This window comes from Homo sapiens, chromosome 2, assembly GCF_000001405.40.
Source record: "Homo sapiens chromosome 2, GRCh38.p14 Primary Assembly".
NCBI classification, from domain to species: domain Eukaryota; kingdom Metazoa; phylum Chordata; class Mammalia; order Primates; family Hominidae; genus Homo; species Homo sapiens.
The window spans coordinates 64655272-64682755 of record NC_000002.12 but is presented as its reverse complement, the minus strand read 5'-3'; the positions used below and the strand labels follow the sequence as shown (position 1 = coordinate 64682755).

The window sequence follows — 27484 nt, the reverse complement described above, 5'->3', positions numbered from 1 at the left end:
GTCTTCTCCTTTAAGTGGAATGATGGGGGCCATTGGAGGATTGGAGGAGTGGAGAGGTGGCATGATCTGACTTCCGTTTGGAAAAGAATCACTATAGCAGGGCGTGGTGGTGGGCACCTGTAATCCCAGCTAACTGGGAGGCTGAGACAGGAGAATTGCTTGAATCCGGGAGGTGGAGGTTGCAGTGAGCCAAGATCATGCCATTGCACTCCAGCCTGGGCAAAAAGAATGAAACTCCCATCTCAAAAAAAAAAAAAAAAAAAAGAAAACAATCACTCTGACTGCTGTGTTGAGAACAGACAGTAGAGGAACAAAGGTGGAAGTAAGGAAGTGTACTTCAGAAACTATTTCAGTATTCAAGGTCCAAGAGGTGATGATGACTGGGACTGGGGTAGTAGCATAGCACTAGAGTTGTGAGAATTTCCTGACAGATTAGATGTAAGAAATCAATGATGGGTCCAAGGCTTTGCAGCTGAGGACTTGGACAAATAGTGTTGCCATTAACTGAGTTGGAAAAAAAACGCAGGGGGATGGCTTTGGGGGGAAGTTGAGGAGTGCATATTGATAAGACATCTATATGGAGATGTTGAATAGGCAGTTGAAGATTTGAGACTGGACTTCAGAGGAGAGGAATACAGGCAGGAGATACAAATTTGGAAGTTGACAATATTTATATGGTATGTAAAGCCGTAAAACTAGATGAGATCTCCAAGGGAGGAGCATATTGAAGAAGCCCAAGGATTGAGCCCCAGTTACCCTTGAGAGTTTTAAAGGCCAAGGAGAGGGAGAAGAACTTACTAAGAGAGACTGAGAGGCGTGGCCAGTGAAAGAGGAAGAAAAATCAGGAGTGTAGGGTCCTGGAAGCCAAGTGAACAGAGTGTTTCCTAGAGGAGGGAGTGGTCACCTGATCAACTGTGTAGGTCAGGTCAGGTAAGGTGTGAGAACTGATCATTGAATTTAGCAATGTGGAGACAACTGGGACCTCCACACATCAGAGGGAAAGAATTTTAGCCATTAAATGAACGTATGGCTCATTACAAGAACATAATTATGTTTTAAAAGATTTGTTTTAAAAAGCTACTTTTCACTTCCTCAAAAAGGTAAGCATAGAATTACAATATGATCCAGCAATTCCACTTCTAGGTATATACCCCAAAGAATTGAAAGCAGAAACTCAGATAATCATATGCCAGTGTTCACAGCAGCATTATTCACAATAGCCAAAAGGTGGAAACAACCTAAATGTCCATCAACAGAGACTGGATAAACAACATGTGGTATGTACATACAATAGAATATTAGCCTTAAAAAAGAATGAAATTCTGATACTGGGTACACTGTGTGTGAACCTGGAAAATAAACTAAGTGAAATAAATCATGCACAAAATAACAGAATTCTACTCACGTCAGGTACCTAAAATAGTCAAATTCATAAAGACAACATAGAATAGCTGAGGAATAGATTAGCCTCCTTACCAGAGGCTGAGGCTAGTAGAGAATGGAGAATCATCATTTAATAGGTATACCATTTCTTCTTGGGGCAATGAAAAAGTTCTGGAAATGGATAATGGTGATGGTTGTGCAATATTGTGAAGGAACTTAATTGTACACTTTAAAAAGGTTAGAATGGTAAATGTAAGTGCCACAATTAATTTTTGTTTTGTTTTGTTTTGTTTGTTTTTTTGAGACGGAGTCTCGCTCTGTCGCCCAGGCTGGAGTGCAGTGGTGTGATCTCGGCTTACTGCAACTTCCGCCTCCCGGGTTCAGGCGATTCTCCTGCCTCAGCCTCCTGAGTAGCTGGGATTACAGATGCACACGGCCACGCCCTGCTAATTTTTTTGTATTTTAGTAGAGACAGGGTTTCACAGTGTTGCCCAGGCTGGTCTCGAACTCCTGAGCTCAGGCAATCTGCCTGCCTCGGCCTCCCAAAGTGCACAATTTTTTTCAAAAAAGCATAGGACGCAGGTAAAACACTATCTCAAGGGAAATTTATAACATATATTAGAATTAAAATCAACAAATAAGCAAAAGAAAAGCTATCTTTTACGTATTGCTGACCTGAAAACTAAGTTTGCTTTAGGCATCATCTATGACTTGGCTTTCCTTGTAGATCCTTTTGTACATGTTTGTTATACTCATTTCTTAAAGGCTCAAGCTTTAGCCATCACAGTTAAAGAAAACGGTATCCCCTTATACAGGTCATCATCAGAAGGGTAGGAGAAAAGTCAGCTACTGCAGAGTGATCCAACTACTTACAATTTTAGTAAGAGTGTATCTTTTAAATAACATATTTTATTTATCTGTATACTCTCATTCAGGAAAACTGTTCTCTCTGTCATATAATGGTTTTTGAAAAGAATGTTCCCTGAATGCACATGTAAATAATTTCTTTGCTAAAACCAGCATTTCTGATAATTCCACAGAACTGATAGTGAGAAAACCTTGAGTACTGGAAGGTTTTGTGGTGCAGCATATTTAATAACTGTGACAACTCAAGAATTTTAAGCAGACTCGCCTCCTTGTCTGGGATCTGTCGGCAGTATTGTGTCTCTACTGGCAAGCCCCTCAATGTACTGTTTCAGCCAAAACCGTGCTAATGATGGTCTACCAAATTTTTACTTGGTATTTTAAAGTCTCAATATTCTCAGGATTTAGAAAATACTTTCCCTCATCCTTTCAAAAGCTGCCACTCTGAAATACATAGGATTTTTTTTAAAAAAGTCTAAAATTGCTTTACAGCCTTGATAAAACAAAGACTGGTGTGTTGATGTGGCTGCTTTTGTATGATTTCCGAGGTGAATTTAGATGACTGGAAGATAGATGGGTGCCAGATGCAGTTTGACATAGATTCAGGCAGCTGCTCCTGGGCTAGGTTTCATTAGCTGGTAAGTGCTCCAGCAGAAGCAGCAGAGCGAGGCCCCAAATGCCAAAATGACAGTGAGAACAGTGGAACAATACAATATTCACCAAGTGATTTTAATCTCGAAGATTAAATGTCACCCAATCAGTTTCCAGGTCTTAAAAAACCAACTTGCATGAAACCATTAGAAGGCCCAAGTCTTTGTTCACCAGAAGAAACAAGTTTTACTCTTTTTGAAGGGGGAGGGTGGTTAGTTTTAAAACACCAAAAAAAAAAAGTTTTAAACCCATGTTGGTAATATACAATTAAAACTCTTGTCAACCCCCAACACCCACACCACAGTAAAAGAAGTTCATTCACTATTGCAACCGGGCAGATAGGCAGATTCCTCAATAAAAGGAACCAATGTTTGTTTGTTTATCTATCTTTCTTAAAATGAAAGTCTTGGATGGGCTTCACAAGCCTCTTCCAGCTTAAATGCCCTCCCTCCCCCACCACGACCACACCCATTCTTCTCCAAAGAAAGACAGAAGTCTTAACACAGAGAGAGCATACTTCTTTGTTTTTGAGACCTTATGGTCTGCATAGCTATTGGCGGGTAAATAAGTACCCAACCACATAATTGTGAACTTAAAAAAAAAAGTTCCTATAAAGGATTTTTGCTCTCACTACTTGTGGTGTCATAAGTAATTGTGAAACTGATTCCAGAATTCTCCATACTTGATTTCAACTCATGTGTTTTCTCAACTGAGAAAGGGGACCTTTATTTAGTGTATTATTTACACTTACTAAACTTATCTTTGCTTTTCTGAAAAGAGTGTAATGATCTAACCCTTCAGTGATGCAACCATTTCATGTGAGGTAATTTTTTTTCACTAAAATTAACCCAAAATAAATAATTGATTGGACATGTACCTATTTGAAAACTGCAAATCTAACCAGTCTCTGCTTTTCTTCTTTAGTTTTAGGAAGCTACTGCATCACAGTAGCTCTGAAGCATTACAGAGTATCTTTTCCCTCTAAATGTGTGTGTGCTCAGCTCTCTTAATAACAATGGGAGTTGTATATGTACTCAAAGAATAGTTTCCATTGCATTTTAGTATTTTTAGTCTTTTGCTTAGTAATAATGTCATAATGCTACTTTTTTTTTTTTTTGTCTACAGAATGGTTAAAGATTTGGAAATAAGCTCTGGTTGAATTAGAAACACTCTATGTTCAAAAGCAAATTATAATGTTAACTAATGGCCATGTGATGCCCTACCAAGTTTGAATATATTCTGGGCCTGAAGATATTGCATACATGCTCTCTGAAAGTTGAATTTTCTTGGGGCAGAGCTACCCATCTCTGAATTTACATTTGAATTACAGGGAATAACATCTCAGGTGCCATGGTTTGACTTCATCTAAATCTTTGAGAAATGTTTCATAGTAATCAAAGCTTCTCTTTCTCTTCTTTTTTCCCTTCCTTCCTTTATGGGTCTAGCACTGACAACTTGACCACATTGACCTAAATATTAAGACCTTTTTTTTGTTTCTCTGTACCCACTACTCACAAGGGCTATGCTAGCAAACCTCGTTGATGAGAGGTGAGTATTGCGTTAATGAAGAGTCGTTAGGTTCAGCACACTCAGTTTGGGTGAACCTAATTAGACTCAGGTTGTATTTCTCTTGAACAGCTTTTAAAAGCCTTTTTTTCTTTTTTTGAGACAGAGTCTCGCTCTGTTGCCCAGGCTGGAGTACAGTGGCACAATTTCGGCTCACTGCAACCCCCATCTCCCAGGTTCAAGTGATTCTCCTGCCTCAGCTTCCCGAGTAGCTGGGATTATAGGCACCCGCCACCACACTTGGCTAAATTTTGTATTTTTAGTAGAAATGAGGTTTCACCATGTTGGCCAGGCTGGTCTCGAACTCCTGTCCTCAAGTGGTCCGTCCGCCTTGGCCTCCCAAAGTGCTGGAATTACAGACGTGAGCCACCCCGCCCAGCCCCTTTCTAGCCTTTCTTTATCCCTGAATTTACATAATTCCTCTGCTCCATTTTGCTTCATTTCTACCAGGTATCTGGTCCTTCTTTATCTTCAAGAGATGTTGTGAGAAGACAGTGAAAAGGGAAAAAGGTGGTGAAAAGAGCATTGGGTTCCAAGTCCAAAGTCCAGAAGGTTGCCTCCCTGCCAGAGCCGGAGCCCTGTCTTCCTCACAGGGTGGCTGGGAGGGGTAAAGGAGCATATGGAGATCCTTGGAGAAAAGCGCTATATGCAGAAGTCCAAGATGCCATTGTGGTTATTACTATTAATTACCAACCAAATCCAAAGCCATTTCAATTGCTAATCATTTGATATTTTAATTCATTTTTTTCTACCTTAAAATTATAAATGTAAGCCACAGTCTCTTACCACTTATGGACTACTAACCACTCTATTAACTCTCCGTGCTGTATCTATTCCCCCAGTTCTCCCATCCTGTTTTATTTGTTGTTGTTGTTGTTGTTTGTTTGTTTGTTTGTTTTTTGAGATGAGATCTTGCTATGCTGCCCAGGCTGCTCTCAAACTCTTGGGCTCAAGTGATCCTCCCTCCTCAGCCTCCCAAATAGCTGGGATTACAGGTGTGCACCACTGCACCCAGCTCATTACTGGCATTTTTTAATGTAGAAAAAAAAAAGTGCTGTAACCCAGTTATAGCAATGAAAGTAGGAAGAAGCATGCTGATTCCTCCTGTTACTTGAGTTATAAAGCCATTGAAGAAAGTAGCTGGTCTTTCCTAGACTTTATTATGTTTTCCCATCAGAATATAACTAAAGCAAAGGGACAAGAGGAGGGAATCTCAGAAAATTAACAATCCAGAGGTTTAACACTCTTAGTAATTTGTGAGAGAGTCTTTTCTTAAGCTTAGCCTAAAGCCTGGCACAGTGGACATTTGGTAAATGTTAGATGAAGAAAAAACAGGGGTATTGGTTTTATATTAAATTTGCAGTGGCAGAGGTACATTTTGAATGCTAGTCAGATGATGAGATTCATTCAATAAAAATATATTTCTCCTATACTCCAGTCTGACCTAATGCCTTAAATGAGTGGAGCTTCATCTAATCTCTCCTGTACAGTGCGCACCACAACGCCTCTGTAAGATTTGTCCCAGTTGGCAGCAGTGACGAGGCCTGCTGGGGACAAACCAGGGAGCTCTCCATCCAGCGCCAGTGACCACCAGCACAGTATTGAATTTGATGAGCATTATGTTATTAAATAATTATTAACAAAAATAGCTACTGTTGTTTATCATTTTCAGAGGCTGCACTAACCTTTCTACATACATTATCTCATTTAATTCTCACAGTAACACCACACTGCAGGTTCTGGGTCTATCCCCTTTTTACAGATGAGGAAATTGAGGCTTAAGCAAGTTGCTGAAAGTCAACCAACCAACACATGGTCAAGCTAGAAGTTGAAACCCTGTCTGTCCCAGGACTGTCTGACTCCACAGTCAGTGTTTGCAGGCATGTCAGAAAATGTTGCCCACAGTTTGCTAAGTTACATGTTAAGTAGTCTCAAAATACTCTTTGTTTTGCTTCTCTGGTTTCTCTGCAAAAGAACTAACAGGTACTAATGGTATAAAATGGTATAAAAGCGGCCAAACTCATAATGAAGACTTTTTTCTTTTTCTTTTTTTTTTTTTTTTACCGTTAATGTAGAAAAGATGATTTCTGATGAAGGGTGCCTTTACTTCAGTCTCATAGCACAGGCTCTCCCTCAGGTGGGAGGGTGAGTCAGAGGCGGATGACTATGCTTTGCTGGAGTTATTTGCAGTGTGTGACAGGGACAGAAAGTGTGAATGCATGCAGCCTCACATCTGATGGGTACATCCCTAAGCTGCACAACTGTGGCAGCCTCAGATGAATCATGGCATTTTAGGATCCGCATGTGTCGTCAACATACGTGGGTTGAATTAGCATGGAAGCATAGTAGTACTCTAGAAACACAAATAAAACACACCATTGAAGTACCTGCAGTTTTTCACATAGAAGCCAAATGCTTGTGAAATCAGTACATTTTGAGCTTTTTGTTTTTAGAGCTAATGCTCTTGTTTACTAGATAAGACCATCTTAGCATTTTCTATTTAAGTGTTTAAAATTCAGTCATAAAATTTCACTCTAAGCTAAAGCTGTTTATAGTAACTTAGGCTGTATGTGGGTGTATTAAGAAGGAAAAATAGAATATATTTCTAAAAAGATATATTAAAGTTTTTCTGGTTCATGCTGCTTGATTGATGATAGATAGATGATTGATTGCTAGATAGATAGATAGATCACCATAAGTTTGTTTCCATCTGAGTTTGTTTTTAGAAATGTGCCTTGGCAAAGAATCTTCTTTAGACAGTTAAGTAAAGTGATATTTACAGTAATATAAATTAGAAAATGAAAACCAGATCTTGAAGTAGAAGATATATAGATTCCAGTCTGGGCTTTGCTGCTTGGTGGTTGTGTCATCTTGAGAAAGTTTTCTCTGAGCCTCGCTCAGTTCCTCAGGTGTAAAACAGAATAGTAGCTGGTGCTTGGGGTCTTGGGGATGGGGAACAAATAAGATGATGATGTCAGCGTGCTTTATAATCTGTAAATGCTATACAGTTTTTTAAAGTACTGTAATTATCCAAGTTTTAAATTATCCACAGCCAGCAGATGGACTGATCTGTCACCATTCTTCATCCATGAAGGTGATAATGTTTATTTTGGTCTCCTAAAAAACACAGGTTTTTTTGGGATTTTTTTGTTTTTTTTTTACACATTTATTGAGCTCTTATGATTTGTGAGGACTTCCTTCACATCAGCAGAATTTATATGTAGATTTATAATGCCTTTGTTTACACAGACTTGTTATTTATATAGCATACCAACTTTCTGTGCATGTGAATTTTATAGACACCTGAAGTTTATCTCTTTAAGTACCTAAACTTGTTTAACATAAGCTTGTTCAATAAAAATCTTTCTTTATATCATGTTTGTTGTTGATGTTATTATTATATTTTTTCCATAGATAGCATTGAGCAATGCTACATTTTCATCATGATTCAGGATCATTTAGATTGCTAAAATATTCTGTGAAATAGATTCCTTTAGGGTAGAGCTAGTAAGGGACATGGTGCTATTTACCATTATTTTAATGGTCCTAGATCAGTAAATTTTTTGAATTATTGAATCAGTGTTGGTTTTTGTTTTTAATTAAAAGAGATGGGGTCTTGCTATGTTGCCCAGGGATGGTCTGGAACCCCTGGGCTCAAGCAGTCCACCCACCTGTGCCTCCCAAAGTGCTGGGATTACAGCCATGAGCCACCATGCCCAGCCAAATCAATGTTTTTATAGTCCCTCCCTTCTATTCTAGTTGTTAGCTGTCTTTTTCTTTTTTCTACTATCATGCACTTGCCTCTTTTAATTCTTTCTCCCTTCTAAATTTCTAAATTTTCATTTACAATCTGTGGTTTGGGAAAAAGGCCAGATATATTTTAATCTTTAAGATTAAATAGGCACTTAGGTAATACATGTTAATGTATGAGGTTTGGTATATGTGCTTTGTTTTATCTTATTTTTGTTGAAGGATTTATTTTTGCTTATTTTATAAGTTCCAAGTAACGAGTTCTCTCTGGATGAATTGTTTTACACACCAACATTTACAGCCTGCATCAATTTCACCAGTTATACTTTTTTTTTTTTTTTGAGACAGAGTCTTGCTCTGTCGCCAAGGCTGGAGTGCAGTGGTGTGATCTCAGCTCACTGCAACCTCTGCCTCCCAGGTTCAAGCGATTCTCCTGCCTCAGCCTCCCGAGTAGCTGGGACTACAGGTGCATGCCACCACGCCCGACTAATTATTTGTATTTTTAGTAGATATGGGGTTTCACCATGTTGGCCAGGCTGGCCTCGAACTCCTGACCTCAAGTGATCCACTGCCTTGGCCTCCTAAAGTGCTGGATTACAAGCATGAGCCACCACGCCTGGCCAATCACCAGTTATACTTATGTAGCTCTTTATTAATTTCAAAGTGCTTGTGTATACTTTGCCTACCTTGATCTCCACAAAATCATGAGAGACAGGCAAGACATATTTCAATATTTTACAGATAAGAAAGCTAAGGCATAGTTGGAGGTTATTCAGTAGATCTTAACTAGGGATTGCAGCTGAATCTCCCAGGGAAGTTTGTTCACCTGTACATACCAGGGTATCCCAATTCCATGGGTCTGGGGCAGAACTCAGGTACGTATATTTTGGAAAAAGATCCCAAATGATTCTAATGTGCATAGCTTTCCCAGACCTTTTTCTCTGTCCCCTCATCCCCCACCTCTGCTCCCACTGAGAACTGCTAGGTTAAAGTTTTTTATCACCAGTAAGTGGTTTATTAAGATGCTTTCACCTGCAGGTTACAGAAAAGCCAACAAACAGTGGCTTAAATCTGATTTTCGGTGGTTCCACAATCAGCTGGTGTGGTGGTCAGAGTAATCCTCCCTGTATGTTACTTTACGTGGTAAAAGAGACTTTGCAAATGTAATTAAGGTTCTTGAAATGGGGAGATCATCATTATCTGGCTGGGCTCCGTGTAATTACAGGGGTCCTTATAAGAGTGGGGCAGGAGCATCAAATGCAGAAGAAGAAGGTGGGATGACAGAAGCAAGGGTTGGAATTATGTGCTCTGAAGATGCAGGAAGGGGTTATGAGCCAAGGAATGAATGCAAGGCAGCCCCTAGAAGCTGGAAAAGACAATGAAGGAGGGCCTCCCCTGAAGCCTCTGGAAGAATGCAGCCCTCTCAAAACCTTGATTTTTAGACTTCTGACCTCCAGAACTATATGAGAATAAATTTGTGTCATTTTCACCCACTAAGGTTATAATTTGTTACAGCAACAATAGGAAACCAGTACAACTGGGAAGTATAAAATGCAGATTCTTAAGCCCCTCCCACAGAGATAAAGTTTGAATAGAGTAGGTGAGGTTTAGGGAGCTGTGTTTAAACTAGTCCTTAGGTGATTTAGTGGCCTGTGGTTTTTGGCCCGTTGGCCCGCATCTACAGAGTTACAAAATAACCACAAGGCCATTTACTGTTTTCCTCAGATGTCTAGAGCTGGGTGGTCCCAGCATGGCAAGGATGGGGGTAGGGGTGTCATCAAGGACCCAGGCCCCACCTGGACCTCTGCTCTACTCCTCTCATTGTGTTGGGCTTTTACCCTATCCCTTATTTTTGTTTTGGGGTTTTTTGTTTGTTTTTTTTTTTTGAGACAAGTTCTCGCTCTGTCACCTACCCTATCCCCTTTTTTTGTTTGTTTTTGGGTTGTTTTTTTTTTTTTTTTTTTGAGACAAGGTCTCACTCTGCCACCCAGGTTGGAGGGCAGTGGTGTGATTATAGCTTACTGCAGCCCCAACCTCCTGGGCTTCCCACCTCAACCTCCCGAGTAGCTGGGACTACAGGTGCACACCACCACACCTGGCTAATTTTTAACAGTTATTTTTAGTAGAGATGAGGTCTTGCTATATTGCCCAGGCTGGTCTTGAACTCCTGGGCTCAAGTGATCCTCCTGCCCTTGGCCTCCCAAAGTGCTGGGATTATGGGCGTGAGCCACCCCACCCGGCCTTACCCTTATTCTTGTTATATCATGGTCACAGACGGCTACCAGAAAGAAGATTCCTTCCCAGAAGTTCCAGCAGACTTCCCTTTACACCTGACTAGCCAGAACTGCAGCACCTGGCCATCTCCAGCTGCACAGGAGGCTGGACAGCAAGAAACCTCACATGGTATCTCAAAACATTATTCTGTCTCCCTTCTCCTCCTGGGAAACACGTGCACCCCTCCAACATCACTTACCTTTCATCTGGCTGTTGTCTCCCTCCTCCAACATGGCTGTTTAGTGTCAGGTCCTTGTACCTTTTAAAATTATCTCAGGCTGGTGGCTCACTCCTGTAATCCCAGCACTTTGGGAGTCCCAAGGCAGGAAGATTGCTTAAAACCAGGAGTTTGAGACCAGTCTGGGCAACATAGCGAGACGCCTGTCTCTATAAAAAATTAAAATAATAAAATGGCTCCTGTCATTTTGGAAAAAAGAAAGCACTTAATTTATTTAATCTTTACAACTCCATGGGATGATTAATTTCCTTTTTTTTTTTTGAGATGGATTCTTACTCTGTTGCCCAGGCTGGAGTGCTGCAACCTCCGCCTCCCGAGTTCCAGTGATTCTCGTGCCTCAGCCTCCCGAGTAGCTGGGATTACAGGCATGTGCCCCCACACCCGGCTAATTTTTTGTATTTTTAGTAGAGACGGGGTTTCACTGTGTTAGCTAGGATGGTCTCAATCTCCTGACCTCGTGATCCACCTGCCTTAGCTTCCCAAAGTGCTGGGATTACAGGCATGAGTCACTGTACCCGGCCTCAAATGTCATTTTCTTATCAAGGTATATTCAACCACCTCTTTACAATTGCAGCCCTGCCCCACACATACACACTCAAGCACACATTACCCATCCTTTTTTCCTACTTTATTTTTCCCATAGCACTTAATCTCTAATATACCATATAATTTACGAATTTATTCCACTTTCTCCCACCATCCTGAATGTAAGATCCGGGAAAACAGGGATTTTGTGTTTTGTTTGCAGCCATATTCCAGCTCCTAAAACTTAGGCTGGGTGCAGTGGCTCATGGCTGTAATCCTAGCACTTTGGAAGGCTGAGGAGGGCGGATCACCTGAGGGCAGGAGTTCGAGACTAGCTTGGCCAACATGGTGAAACTCCGTCCTTACTAAAAATACAAAAATTTGCCTGGCACGATGGTGCACGCCTGTAATCCCAGCTATTCGGAAGGTTGAGGCAGGAGGATCGCTTGAACCCGGGAGGCGGAGGCTACAGTGAGCCAAGATCGTGCCATTGCACTCCAACCTGGATGACAAGAGTGAAACTCCATCTCAAAAAAAAAACAAAAACAAAAACAAAAACAAAAAAAAACACTAGGACATAGTAAGCATTCAATAAATTTTTGTTGGGTTGGACGTGATGGCTCACACCTGTAATCCTGGCACTTTGGGAGGCCGAAGCAAGCAGATCGCTTGAGCCCAGGAGGTTGAGGCTTCAGTGAGCTTGATCATGCCACTGCACTCCAGCCTGAGAGTTAGAATAAGACCCTGTCTCAAATAAATAAATAAATAAATAAATGTTGAATGAACACATTCTTTATGCATGGTTCCGATTAGGTCTATGGGGCAAATTTCTAGAAATGAAATGACCACATTACAGGATATAGAAATTTTAAAAGGTTCTTGATACACATCTCCAAAACCCTCTCTTTCCCAAGGTTAAATCAATTTATACTCACATCAGTAACTGTGAGACAACCTGTCCACTGCACCCTCACATTGTTAACAGCTTTAAAACAACTTTAGCTAGCTTACTATGTAAAAATTACAGTTCTTTTAAATTTGTATTGCTTTTTCATGCATTGCTTCCCTTGATAATGATTAGTTTGGGTCCTTTGCTCATTTATAAAATTTTGTTTTAGTGTTTTCTAATTTAGTATTGATGGTTTTCTAATTGATTCATAAGACCTCTTTAGGTTATAAAGTTACTAAGTCTTTGTTACCTGTGTTGCAGTTATTTTTCCTAGTTTGTCATTTAAAAAAAATTTTTGCTTATGGTGCTTTTTGTTATATAGTTTTTGTTAATGTAGTCAGTTTTATCTTCATGGCTCTTTTGCTTTATGTTTGAAAAGGTCTTATCTACCTCTAAGATAAATTATTCATCTGTAATTTCTTTTAGTTCTCTTATGTTTTTTAATGTTATTCTTTAATCTCTGGTGTTTTATCATATTGTATGAGGCAAGGACCTAATGTTAGTTTTTCCTCCCTAAATAATAAACCATTCATTGCACATGCCTCCCTTACCTCACTTATAAGAATGTGTCTTTAGTGTATACTAAATCTTTTTACTAAAGTCTGTTTCAAGTGTTTCAATTCAGATTCATTTATATTTTTCTTTTGCCAGAATCCAACTCTTAATTATTGTTTTTAAATATATTTTAATATCCTTTTTTAATTTTTATTTCATTTTTTCCTCATTTGTTGGTTTGTCTAAGTAAATGTTAGAATCATTCAGTAAAGTTCAAGAATCAATGGGGAGTTAACTTCCTAAAGTGAAAACCACGTCATGCCATTCTCCCATGGAAGATCTCTTAATGACTTCAGAACATAAAGGCCACACTCAGTGTTGCCTCCAAGACCTTCCTAGACGTGCCCCAGCCAAACTCTCTAGTGTTACGTATTGCTACTCCCTGCCTGAAATTTACACTTCAGATCTGTACCCACATCACATGCTATTTCTCACCTCCCTATCTTTGTTCATCCTGTTCCATCTGCCTTTAATGACCTTGACTAATGACCTTGACTAATTCCTGTTTACCCTAAAATCCACTTCCTGGCCTCATTCCACACTGGCCAGGCTCTGTGGCCACTCCTGCATGTCCATTGTCATCCTGTGCATGTCTCTTACACCCACCACATAACCCATTGCATCACAATGATGAGTTAATCTTCCACCTGAACTGGGTGGGAGCATCTCTTGTTCATTTTGTATTTCTAGGACCTACCATGCTACCTGTCATACAGTAAGTCATGTGGATGGATTAGAGGAGAATATTCGGGACTGGAAATTGGGAGACAGATTGTTGCCATAATCAAAGTGAAAGATAACTAGAGTATTGACTAGGGCAGCGGTGGGAGAAATGGGACATACATGGAAAATAAGAGAGAAGATTGACAGGGCTTTGTATCTGGATGAATGTGAGGGTAAGAGAGATGGAAGATACTTTGAATCTGAGATTTCCAACGGAGACTCCAGGTGGATGTTGTGCCTTAACCGTATTTAGGCATTTGGGAAGTAGGGGGCAATTTAAGGAGAATATGATTAGGACAACTTTAGATGTGCTGTGAGTTGGAGATGCCTTTACGATACCCAGTGGAGATGTCTGATAGGCAACGGGACATGAATAGGTTAATTATATGCTTTTATCATTCAAACTAGGACCTTTTCGAAATTGACACAGGGTGCTATTAATAATTATGCCAGGATAACAAGCATAAACCAGGAATGACCCTTATAAACTGGGTTGCATAGTCTTCCTATATAAACAGGTCACATCTGGAGCTCAGAGAGAAAGGTCTGGAATGAAGTTAATGATTTGTGAGTCATTAGCATGTAGGTGCTCTGAGAATGGGTGAGATTGCCTAGGGAGAGTTTCTAGGATAGGAAGAGAAAAGGGGCAAGACAAAACCATAGGGAATACTAATATTTACATAGTTAATTAGGTAACTGGGATTATTAACTGGGAAATTGTTTTTCGAAACACTTAACATTCCTAAATTTTTCTGAGGATTCTAATATCCTAATCAACCATTCCCATGTCTGCTCCCAACCCGGCCATGAACCATAGCCATCTCCATCCCGCCCCCACCACAGTACTTTACCCCTCTCTGGCCCTCTCTGCAGCCGGAAGTTGTTGTTGTTGTTTTTTAAGTTTAAAACTACAGGTTTATAGGGAGGGCAGAGGAAGAGGAGCCAACAAAGGAAACTACAAGTGGCCAAGGAGACAAGAACCAGGAGACTACAGTTCAACTTGAAGGAAACCTTTCGAGGTGGTCAGTAATGTCAGATGCTACAGAAAGGCTAAGTAGTATGAGGAGCTGAGAAGTGTCCATTGGCCATGCCATTTAGGGGTCACTGTTGCCCGTTTGTGGGATGGTCAGTAGAGTTGTTCTGCAGTAGGCAGAGGAAGCAGGAAGAAAAATAAAGCTGTAGATAGACAGAAGTAGCTACTAGCAGCATTCCTGCAGCATTAAACATGGGGAGGATTGATTCCTATTTTAAAAGTGAAGATAGAATACAGTGAATCTGTAATTTATTGATTGCAACAAGGAGCCAGTAGGAAGGGCAAGGCTGAATGTACAAGAGAGGGAAGAAATACCAATCTTCAGTCATATTGAAGCTTTTTTGCTCAGTCTCATTCCCTTGTCAGGAGCACCTGTGCTGTGTTATAGTTGAATGCCACCAGTCTGTTCTAATAGGTGTCACTTTGACTTTAAAGACTACCATCTAATGTCTTTCTGTTTGGTTGGCTTGGGATCTAGATTGTCCTTCCTCTTTTTCTAAAGACTCAAGATGGGAACCTTTGAAGAGGATATAAATTTGTCTTCTAGTTGCATTGATTTGCTGACCACTGGTAAAGTGCTGATAACCCATCAGTCTAGATATATGGGTTAATGTGATGTATCCTTGTTGATAGAAACATATACTGCACGTGAACCTACTCCTTTAGTACATGTATGTGTGTCTCTCCATGGTGTCATGTGTATTAGGTGGAAAAGTGAGTTTTTACACCAAAACTTGTTTTTATCTTGAGAAGTTCCATTAAGAGAAAGTTGTTAAAATACAAACTGTTCTGTTTTCTGATTTGCTATCTCATAGTAAGCAGTTAGTTGTAAGATTAACTTCCTCAGAGGAAAGAAGGCAAGGACACCAGCAAAAGGAAAAGAAATGTTTAATTGCTCTGCGAAGGCCCCAACATGCTCTGAAAAGTAAAGATTTCAGGCTTAATGTGCATGGAACAAAAGGCCGTTGTGAGCTGTGTACAAGAGTTGGTGAGAGTTTGTATTCTGCCCCTTTTTTCTGTGGGAGTTATTTCCTGTTGTTGACTAGAGTTCTTTATTTAGAACCACCTAGCTTCAGAATGCCTGCTAGCTTGCAGAAAAGTGTGTACTTAAAACATAGGCTTATTTCAAGACAATCTCTTTGAAAAAAAAGTCACACTACACATGCACTGAAACATCATGTTCCCAAATGTCAAGATCCCCAATAAGAAGAGACATAAGAAGGAGCTGCAGTGCGTTTGGTGTAGCACTTGGTGGTCACCTGAACACCTAGTGAAAGATATTTTATGGGGAAACTGTGTTTCTATTTTTTACTTTAAAAAAAAAAACAAACCAAGATTTCACTTTTTAGTGCTGAGTTCTTTGTCATTTTAAGGAAGTAACAAGAAGCCTTCCATATTTTGTGAGGAAGATTTATCCTTGTTAGCATGATAGAAGTTCGCCTGGCAGGTAAGAAATAACACCCAAAACAGGCATTAAACCACTTACTCTCTTATACTTGAGCGATGAGCTGGACTTCCTATTGAAGAACGTTAGGTTGATTTAGCATTATCATTGGATTTTACAGTGTAATATTGAGAGCGAGAAGGATAATAGAACGAATGAGAAGAATAAATTGTTTATTACTGAAATAATAGGGAATAAATGAATGCTTGCAATACAAATATTGTCCAGTATTAACAGGTGCTAGAAGTTGTAGGAAAAAAAATCTTACACGGTTCTACTTCATGGGAACCATAAGGAAGAAAGAAGAGAAAATGTATTTCTTTAACTTACTATATTCTGAAACAATGAAATAATTAGAATACATTTATTTGCTTTTGAGACTTTGATACTTTTTAAAAAGACATCTCCTGTGTGTCTCTCCCTGATTCTATTAACCTCCTCCTGTTACCAGAGGTAACTACTTTCTTGAATTTTTAAATCTATTTTCTATAATTGCATACATATATATATGTAAACTATATATACAGTGTTTTGCATGTTTAAAAATATGTTATATAAATGGTGTTGTATATATTTTATAACTTGCTTTATTTTAGTCAATATTTGTTTTTGAGATAAAGCTTTATATTTTGAGATCAACACACAATACATGGTACCTTTAGTTCTTTTTTTTTTTATTTTAAGTTTTTTTGGCTATAAGTTTATTCAGTGCAAAATAATCCTCTCCAGTTTTACTGAGGTGGCTGACCACGTCCATGACCAAACCCGCCTCTAAACTGGAATTCGGTTGCTGACCCAGCCCCAGCCTCGGCTTTCTTGTTGGCATCAGGGGGCACAGCACTCCGCCTGTAGGTATCTCTGTCTGCTTCCCCTCTTGTGAGTCTTGCAGGTTGCTCACCCCCTAGACCTTTAGGCCGAGGCCTGCCAGCCTCTGGATGACTGTGGTGTAGGGTGGCAGGCACAATCTCCGGGGGCAGATGAAGGTACCAGTAGAAACGTCTCCAGGCAAACTGTTCCTCCATGCAGCCTCAGGACTTGAGAGACTGCATGGCCTTCATGACATGAAGGTTGGGCACCTTCTTGTCTGCCAGCTCTGGGTGCTTAGGCATGTGGACAACCTTCTTTGCCACCATGACTCCCTTCTTAAAAAGGAGTTCATAAACGGGAATCTGGTTCTTCTTAGGCATCAACATCTCCATGGCTGTAGGGTCTGGGGCCAGGGCTGGAAAGACCTTTAGTTCTTTTTAACCACTGTAGTTTTCAAGGGTATCATCTTGAACTTTCAGGTTACTTACAATATTTTGCTATTACAAGCAATACTGCCAAAAAGATTCTTCTCCTATGTCTCCATGGGGATAAAAGCAAGAGTCTCTCTAGATTCTAGACTTAGCCCTTCTCATCCAGAATTCCTTGAGGGAATTAAGCCCCAATCTCTTAAGGTATCTTTGTAGGGTAATGAATTAACTTCTGTAAGTCTGGAATCATTCAAGTGTTGAGCTGGAGCTGGAGATTGATAGCCACTCCTAAGAATGAATGTGCTAATCTCTTCCTAATTCTTGAGTTCAGTTGGGAGGCTTGAAATCAGCCATGGTATGGGTATTTATACCACAGAAATCAGCAAATGCTACAAATAAAAGCTTCCTTCCCTATCCCCCTAGCTGGTTGTTAAACATTTGCTAGCACATCACAGATTTTAACTTTATACCATCCTTGGGAGAACTGAGGAAACAGTCACTTGAATCCTTTTCTGTAGAGCTTATTTTTCTATATGAGAAAGACTGTATGTGGCAGGGTGTGTGCATCTCCAACTTTACTAGACAGTGCCTAATTAGGCTGGGCATGGTGGCTCAGGCTTATAATCCCAGCACTTTGGGAGGCTGAGGCAGGAGGATTACTTGAGCCTAGGAGTTCGAGATCAGCCTAGGCAACATAGTGAGACCCCATCTCTACAAAAACCCATAAAAATTAGCTGGGCATGATGATGTGCACCTGTGGTCCCAGCTATTTGGGAGTCTCAGAGGATCGCTTGAGCCCGGGAGGACAAGGCGCAGTGAGCTGTGTTGGCACCATTGCACTCCAGCCTGGGCAACAGAGCAAGACTGTCACAGAAACAACAAACAAACAAAGAAAATGCCTAATTATCTCCAAAGTGGTCATACCAAATTATATATCCACAAGTTTTATGAGAGTTCCTTTTTATCTGCTTTCTCATCAGTATTTGATATTGGTATACATATAAAACTTTGATTTTTATCAGTTTGATAGCTGTGAAATATCTCTTTATAATTTGCATTTTTCTTTTTTTGTAGAAATGAGGGTCTAGCTATGTTGCCCAGGCTGGTCTTGAACTCCTGGCCTCAAGTGTCCTACCACCTCAGCCTCCCAAAGTGCTGGGATTAGCGGCATGTCCACTGACACAACCTGATTTGCATTTTTCTTTTTACTGATGAAGTTGAGTGCCTATTCCTGTGTTCATTGGACATTTTAGTTTCCTCACCCATTTTTCTATTGGATTTATCTGTCTTTTAAAAGATTGATTCAGAGGAGTTCTTTGTTAATTCTGAATACTAATCTTTTGTTGATTCTATTTCTATGAATCACGTATATCATTTGACAATCTTTAGCTTGCCTTTAACTTGTTTGTAGTGTATTTTATGTAAGAGATGTTTAATTTTAGTGTAATCAAAGCTATTGATATTTTTCTTTATGGTTTGTTCATTGAGTGTTTTGTTTCTTCAATAGTCAGAATCCCTGCAGGAAACAGAATTCTACTGAGATGATTCAACTAAAGAGACACTAGTGAAGGGACATTTTACAGAGATGTGACAAAAGTTGAGGCACAGAAGACAAATAACTGTAGGAAGCTGTTACTATCCTTAAGCCTAAAGGGGAAAGGGGAAGAAATGGTGTTGCTAGAACCTGGTGGGAGTTGGCATCCTGGAGAAGGGGCCACCTGGCAGAAGCTGTAGTTGTGGAGGGATGTGTACTCGCAGGTGAGGGCCCAAAGCAGGAAGGAGCAGGGAAGAAGTACCCCAGCTTCTCCACCTTCTGACCCATTGGTCTCCTTCTGGTACCTTCTTTGTCTGAATCCAGTTGGAAGCTAGTGAGCAAAGGAACTTGGGTGAGGTGGTCCCTAGATGTCAACATTTCAAGGCATGGAGCCAAGCAGAGGCAAGTGGAGAATGAATCTCAGATGAACTACAGTCAGCACATTTTCCTTATCCTAAAGCCATAAACATATTTTCATATATTCTCTCCCAAAAGTTTAAAATTTTGTTTTACCTATTTAGTCTACCTGAAATATATTTTTTTGTAAATATTAGGCACCTAATTTATTTTTCATACAGGTAATCAGGTGGCCCTGAGCTATTTATTTATAATTTTTTTGAGACAGTCTCGCTCTGTCACCTAGGCTGGAGTGCAGTGGTACCAACATAGCTCACTGCCGCCTTGACCTCCTGGACTCAAGCGATCCTCCCACCTCAGCCTCCTGAGAATCTGGAACCACTATGCTCTGCTAAATGTTGGTTTTTTGTTTTGTTTTGTTTTGTTTCTTTTTGAGATGGAGTCTCTCTCTGTTGCCTGGGCTGGAGTGCAGTGGTGCAATCTCGGCTCACTGCAACCTCTGCCTCCCAGGTTCAAGTGATTCTCCTGCCTCAGCCTCCCAAGTAGTTGGGATTACAGGAGCCCGCCACCACGCCTGGCTAATTTTTTTTGTATGTTTAGTAGAGATTGGGTTTCACTATGTTGGCCAGGCTGGTCTCGAACTCCTTACCCCGTGATCCACCCGCCTCGGCCTCCCAGAGTGGTGGGATTACAGGCATGAGCCACCGTGCCCAGCCTGCTCAGCTAATTTTTAAAATTTTTGTAGAGACAGGGTCTCTTCATGTTGCCCAGGCAGGGTTCAAGCGATCCTTCTGCCTCAGCCTCCTGAAGTGCTGCGATTATAGGTGTGAGCCATCGTGCCTGGCCCTGAGCTACTTATTGAATTCTTTCCTTACTGATCTGTAATTTCACTTCAGTCATGTATTACACTTCCATATATATGTGGTTCTGAACTCTCAATTCTGTTCCATTGATCTATTTATCTGTACCTATGTCAACTCTACTCTGCTCTAATTACTAGAGCTTTATAATAAGCTCTGATAGGACATGTCCCCCATCTTGTTCCTTAAGCTTATTACAACTGTGTTTGGCCCTTTTCTATTTCAGATGAATTTTAGGATTCATTTGCCAAGTTCCATTGAAGGAAAATATGGGATTTAAATTTCATGTAATTTGTTGATAAGTTTGGGGGAGAATCTGCATGTATATAGTATTAAGTATTCTTGTCCATTAAATGGTATGGCTCCCCATTAATTTTTATCTTTTCATCTGATGAACTTTTGGAAAGGTGTTTGTCTTCTCACTTTTCATTTTTGGCTGTAATGAGAAAATCGTAATTCTGGAATCTTTATTCTCATTGCTGTTAATTGTTATTAAAACTAAAAGCATGATGTCTCACAGTTTTAAAGGGGCAACAAATCAGAATGGATTGAAAATCAGTATCTGATTAATTAAAAATTTTTTCTACCTTTTTGTAATTTGGGCTTTAGTTTCTTAAAGGAAGCTAAACAGAAATTATGTTGAAATTATCAACATTAGTCCCACAAAAATGATTTTTCCGTAGCCCAGTACTGGATTGTGCTGCACTCTGTGTAAAGAGGCCAAATGAATAGCTCTGCACTCATAGTGAGGGAATCTGGCACTTTTTAAGTGAGATTTTTGACTTGTTGTGACTCTTTCAGATGTATGTTTTCTTTTAAATGAATCATCTTTAAATATATGCATTGTCTGAGCAAGTTCAGGATTGTAAAGTGTACATTTAATTGTAACAGAACAGAACAGCAGTGGGCGTCTGTGCTACAGATGATATTCTTAGGGTATTTGCTGCCATCCACTCTCCTTTCTAAATTTGGTGTTACAGATTCAACTTCTGTTTTTAAAAGGGAAGTTGCAGATAGATCATTCACACTATTATTTTCTCCTTAAAGCTAGCTTCTCTGCCCATGTGAGGAGTTTCCTATAACCTAAACAAGACTTCTCCAAGAAAACCGCTTTGAAACAAATATTACTTAGCAAGATTAAATCTTTTGTTCAATATTTAAAGTATATTTTTGAAAAAACAATTGACTACTTATACAAGTGTACCTAATGTGGTGTTGGTGTCTGAGCTGCTTGCTTTATTTTCTTCCTACTTGACTTTACTCTGCATTTCTGAAATTTTAGATATAAAAATTTAAAAACTAAAAACAAAAAAGAGAAAGAGAACAAAAATTATACATTTTATTTTATTTTCATTCATTCTTTAATTTGTTTTGAGTCAGCTCTGTTGCCTAGGCTGGTGTGCAGTGGTGCGATCTCAGCTCACTGCAACCTCTGCCTCCTGGACTCAAGCAATTCTCATGCCTCAGCCTCCCGAGTAGCTGGGAATACAGGCGTGTGCCACCATGCCCAGCTAATTTTTTTGTATTTTTAGTAGAGACGGGGTTTTGCCATGTTTGCCAGGCTGGTCTCGAACTCCTGGCCGCAAGTGACCTGTCCACCTCAGCCTCCCAAGGTGCTGGGGTTACAGGCATGAACCACCATGCCTGGCTATAAATTTTAAATTGTGTGTGTGTGTGTGTGTGTGTATATATATATATTCCAGTTTAAAGCAAAAGACTAGTATTATTAGACAGGTTGGATAATTTTGAAAACGTCTTGTTTATTCTGGCAACAGGTCTTTAAAAGACAATTCTACATTAGCGACTAAAAGGTAAAGCCTACACAGTCTTGGCAAGTGTTACCTCTCCCCTAGAAAACTAATACAAATTCATGTGGCAAAGGGCTGATTCATTTTTAGTTGTATATTGTGTTTTACACTTAAACTGTATCTTCTGTTCACGTTTATTTTCTAATGATGCCTCATAGCCTAAACTTGGAGGCACTTCCTGGGCACCTATTCACATTAAAGTCTTGATTTTTTTTTTTAACTTCTCTTAAGTAGAATTTTTATAGCTGAGACTTCAAAAAATGGTTTAAATATATTATTTACATTACAAAATTCACCATGCTTAAAAGTCCTCTTTACTTATAAGGCTTAAAGGTACTCAATCCTAGATAGTTTCTACAATAAATATAAGAATATGTAAACCAAAAGATAGAATTTAGTCTAGCCAATCATATAAATTTGCTTGATTTTAAAACATAAAAACATTTAGCATTAGAGTAATACTTTGGAAAAAAAATATTTTTCCTGTCATCACTTTGCCATTTTTTCCTCAGAATTAACAGATAAAATTCTTAACTACTGTCATATTTTTGTATTCCATGAACAAAAGGGTGTGAAGGTGACAGTGTTAAATGCTCATTTGAACCATTCAGGTAGCCATTGGAAAATTTGGATAGATAAGTCTTTTTTTTTTTTTTTTTTTTTGAGACAGAGTTTAACTCTTGTTGCCCAGGCTGGAGTACAATGGCGCGATCTCGGCTTACTGCAACCTCTGCCTCCCGGGTTCAAGAGATTCTCCTGTCTCAGCCTCCTGAGTAGCAGGGATTACAGGCACCCACCACTACGCCTGGCTAATTTTTGCTATTTTTAGTAGAGATGGTTTTTTTTTTTTTTTAATTTATCTTCAGGTTGATGGCCTAAGCATATATTTTGGTTTTCTTCAACCCCTATGTGGCTTTTTTATTTAACCTAAAAATCAAATGCTGCTGTGTTTTAAAATGTTATTTGACTGATACTTTTCATTCTTAAAGTAAGTAGGCAGAGAAGAATCTTCATTAAAAAGTACAGAATGGTGAGATTCTGGCAATAATTTGGTGTTTATCTGCAAGGTTGTTCCCCGTGTAATGATCCTGTTAAAATTAACTCTTAACAGTACATACTTCATGAGAGAAATTTTAGCAGGAAAGATTAACCTCTTGAGTTTTTGAAGCTGGTGTAAGTGCTTCAGCATTCCTCATTGGTCCACTTATTGAGTGATCCCTATTGAATGCCTACTGTGTCAGGCAGTGCTGTAGAGGCTAGAGACAGGGTGGTAAACAAGAATGACTGTGTTATGAACCTTACTGGAAATGAGTGAGGGGCTAGAGGATATGATGAGTTTTATTTCTTTTTTGTTGTGGTGGTTGTGGATTATTAATTCTGTGGGATAAAATATGGTGCTAACAAGGCTAAGCATAGGCAGGATTGGAGTTTTTTGTATAAGAAACAGAATTGTTATTCCATGACCCATGTAGAGAGATGGAGCTAAGCAGCATCCAGTTCCTAGCCCAGCACTACCCTCCTGTTAGTCTCTGCACGTTGACTCTGTATTTCCTGGCTCTGCACCATCTGCTGTTTCTGAGGAGTGTATGCTCTTCTCAAGACGCTCAGCACTCCTGGCTTCCACAGAATGCTTCAGTGAATGTTAGATCCAGACTTTCTTTGACCCTGGAGTCAGCTTGATAAAGAGTTCCATTGGTAGGTCCTTCTCAGATCCTCTGTTTAGTCCTCTATGAAATGTGGGTAGTAGTACCTGCCCTGCCTATGGCACAGGGAAGGTATTATGAAGAGCAAACAAGTGGATCCATATGAAAGCACCTTGTGGCCGGGCGCGGTGGCTCACGCCTGTAATCCCAGCACTTTGGGAGGCCGAGATGGGCAGATCACCTGAAGATGGGAGTTCGAGACCAGCCTGACCAACATGGAGCAACCCCGTCTCTACTAAAAATACAAAATTAACCAGGTGTGGTGGTGCATGCCTGTAATCCCAGCTACTTGGGAGGCTGAGGCAGGAGAATCACTTGAACCCAGGATGCCGGAGGTTGCAGTGAGTCGAGATTGTGCCATTGCACTCCAGCCTGGGCAACAAAGAGCAAGACTACGTCTCAAAAAAAAAAAAAAAAAAAAGCCCCTTGTAAATTGCCTGCTGCTATACAAACTTAGGGGGTAGGGGTATTCCCAGTCTCACAGCTGGGTGACTTGAACCCTAAGGGGTAACAAATCTAGAAGAATATGGATAGAACTGCTCAAGTCCATCTTCTGGACTTAAAAAAATAATTCAAAGAACATATTGAAGAGAGCACATTATCATTATTTGTATTTCTAGTCCTTTCATTTAGAAATATGTGGACATGAACTTGGTTTTATATTCTTCCAGACAAGCTGAGCAGCTTCCAAAGCATTTTATCTCATTTTAGCCCTAAAACTCCTCCATGAGGATATTGACAGTGTAATCACTGTTTCATAGACTCTTAGCTCTAGGGAGGGGCTCTTGAAATCTTTGAGTCCAAGTTCCTTTTTTTGCCAGGTGTCGAAGCAGGCCCAGTGCAGAGGGTCTGATTCGGCCTCCCTGCTCGCTGTGGCTGACGAGCTAGCCCTGAAATCACCTAACTCAACAACCCTGTGCTCTTTTGACGAGAACTGGTGCTGATCCTAAATCCGTGACCAGTCAATTAAGAAACTAAAAAGTCATAGATTTATCATGGTTAAGTAATTAATGTGTACAAGATCTTCAAACTCCTAGTCCAGGACTTTTCCTGTCACCAGGCTGGTTCCTGGGGGCAAGAAAGGTCTGTGCAATTTCTAACATTCATTGAAATTTTCTGTGGAAGCTAGAAGTGTGCTCAGTGCCTTGAGAAGAGTGGGAACTTCTCAAGAATGATGGATGGCTTATAGACAGGAATAAATACATAGTCGATGCGTAGAGGCAATGTGTGTTGTGTAGGGAGCTGGGGATGGGAGATGTTTCTGAGAAGTGACCACCAGTCTTAGTGGAGTAGTGTCCCTACAGGAGGGAACCCTGGAGTTGTCAGAGTCACCAAGAAGGTTCTTTGCATTTTGATAGACTGCACAAGGCTTTTGAAGATTCAGTGGAAAATGGAATAGGAAGGAAGCTGATGCCTAACAGAAGCCATCTTCTCCAGTAATAGTTCGAAGGGACTGACCCCAAGTGCTAGAAAAAAAGGAAATGGTTTTAAAAGCATTTTCTTTAAATATTGCCATGAAGATTGTGTTTCAGGTTTAGATTTACATATTGTCAGATTTTTAAAAGAGAAAAAGGTATATCTTTAACAGACAAGTGAAACCTCCCTCAGAAGGTAAGAAGCAGTCGTTGCAAAGCAGTTCAATGTAACAACATGGAAAGCTTTGCAAAGGGGCCTTCACTGGAGCTGTAGTTCTGCTTTTATGAATTGTGACTTCAGGGAGGAGCAGAAAAAAACCATGACAAAAGCAGGTGGAAGAAGAGATGGAGAAAAGTTTGCAGAAGTAGAGGAGTTCACTTGCTGCTTCAATAGAATTGTTTTAAATTGTTAGTGGCTGAAAAGGACTGAATCTGCCTGTGCCATCTTTGCGAGAGTATTTACTTTTCCAAATCATTGTATCCTCTATTGACTCCTTGCTAATCAGTTAGGTGATGTGACTTCCAGAACTTTATTTTGAAGACTTATTCCAATATTCATTTATCCGAATGATGAGTCCACAGTTAGGATCTCCGTATTTTCCATGAAAAGCTTATTTAGCCTAGCTGGCTCTATACAATTCATTTAATAACTGAAACATTTATCTTTTTTGCCATAAAACCAAGACCAATATTTGCAAGGTATATAGATGGATGATCATTACTGGCATTTCAGGTGGAACCTGAAAGATAAAAATTTAATAAAAGCAAAGGAAAAATGAAATTAAGTTCAAAACCTGTTGTAAAGTCTTTGTTTCTCAGTTTATATACCCAGTTTGCCCCTTGTGTTTTTGGTGTGTGCTAATTAAGTGCCAAAAGTGGCCTTCAGTTAGTGCACTAGTGTACTAGTCTATAAGATGTGAGGGCACAGAAACTTTCAAAGGAGAAGCAGTGAAGTGTAAACTAGTACCCAGAACTACAAAATGATGCCGAGAAGTACTTCTCTGAAATTAAACTCAGGAGCATTTTTAAAATTTACCATCACAGTTCTATACTTATAAAAGAAATGTTTCTTTTCTCCCTAAACAGATATGTTCCTGGTAGTTAAATGTGGATGACTAGCCTAATTTCTTATAACTGTTCTAAAGTTATGTTATATGAAAGTGAGAGGCAGATCTTCTAAATTCTGGATGAGGCCCTCAGAGTAGGATTATTTTAAATGGGATTTTGTTTTGAGACAAGATCTCACCTACATTGGAATGCAGTGGTGTGGTCATTGCTCACTGCAACCTTGAACTCCTGGGCTCAAACAATCCTCCCATCTCAGCCTCCTTAGTAGCTAAGACTATAGGCATGCATCACCATGCAGGGCTGATTTTTTCATTTTTTGTGGCGATGGGGGTGTCGCTATGTTGGCCAGAATGGTCAACTCCTGGCCTCAAGTGATCCTTCTATCTAGGCCTCCCAAATTGCTGGGATTACAGGTGTGAGCCACTGCACCCAGCCCTTAAATGGGCTTTTAAATCTCCCAAAGAGTGAGAACAAAATTTACATATTCACTAAACACTGCTTATTCAATGACATGATTTGAAATAATATTTTATTGAATAAATATTTCAAATCATGTCATTGCATACTGAAGGGAGCTGACTTCAGAAGTGTGGAAAGTGCCTTTCCTTATCCTCATAGACTTGAATTTCTAGGGCTGGGTAGAGATTGCTGTCCTGGCCTATGTGTGGCTCAGCCTTGGGGTAGGGGGTTGCATAAGGGGAGGGAGAGGGTTAACCAGCTGGTGTTAACCACATTGGCAGCTGTTGAAACTGCCAGCTCACTTTAACTTCTTGGTCAAAGATGCCAGATTCTAAAAGTGGGGGAAGTGGGAGCTATTTGTAATGTGTACATTGATAAGATGTTACAGCCTTCAGAGGTATAAAGAGATGGAAACTATTTCACTCCAAAAACGCAGGTTGCTGGTCTCGTTAAGAGCGCAAACCTTTGTTTGAGCAGGTACAGAATACAGACCTTATGGACTTCAGCAGAATCCTGTCTATCCTAGTGACACAAAATTGTCACTTTGACTTAAATCCTGTTATTTTATACAGAAACACTGCATTTGGTGTAATCTATTTGCTAGAAAATATCCAAGTGTCACAAAAGTTCTGCAAGTGTAACTTCCTGCTTACTTTAATTCAAGAATAGCAGTTTAAATTCACAAATAGCAGTTTAAATTCACCTTAAATTCAACAGAGCTAATGCCTCTGGCCTCCTCTACAAAGATATCACAGGAAGAGATTATTGCAGCTTCTATTTCAATGGCTTTTCCTTAAAGTGAGCACTGAAAGTATAAGTGAGTGGGTGGTTAGGAAACTGTTAGTAGTTAATGCCCTCTCTAAACTGCAGAACTCTGGAAATGAAAAATATCTTCGCTTCACAGCAAAATGTTTGAATGTTATGCCACTCAGGCGCAAACTGAGCAAGACCTGCAGAGGGCCGGTGAGCACAGCTTCCATAATATGTCATTTTGAATGCCATTATAATGAGACTTTGCAAAGATATCCACAAATAATTAGCTTTTGGCTTAGGTTATACTGTATAAGACTTTAATTATACTGAGGGTCCA

General features: G+C 39.9%; 1 pseudogene, besides 2 other annotated features; it reads right to left on the bottom strand.

Moving 5' to 3' along the window:
• Window positions 16635–17185, bottom strand: RPS10P9 (ribosomal protein S10 pseudogene 9; annotated as a pseudogene).
• Window positions 23232–23281: a silencer, noted in NCBI's record as "silent region_11563". NCBI's record gives its function as "represses an Ori minimal core promoter by ATAC-STARR-seq in GM12878 lymphoblastoid cells {active_cell/tissue: GM12878}" and the evidence as "EXISTENCE:reporter gene assay evidence [ECO:0000049][PMID:35858748]".
• Window positions 27269–27428: an enhancer, noted in NCBI's record as "active region_15902". NCBI's record gives its function as "activates an Ori minimal core promoter by ATAC-STARR-seq in GM12878 lymphoblastoid cells {active_cell/tissue: GM12878}" and the evidence as "EXISTENCE:reporter gene assay evidence [ECO:0000049][PMID:35858748]".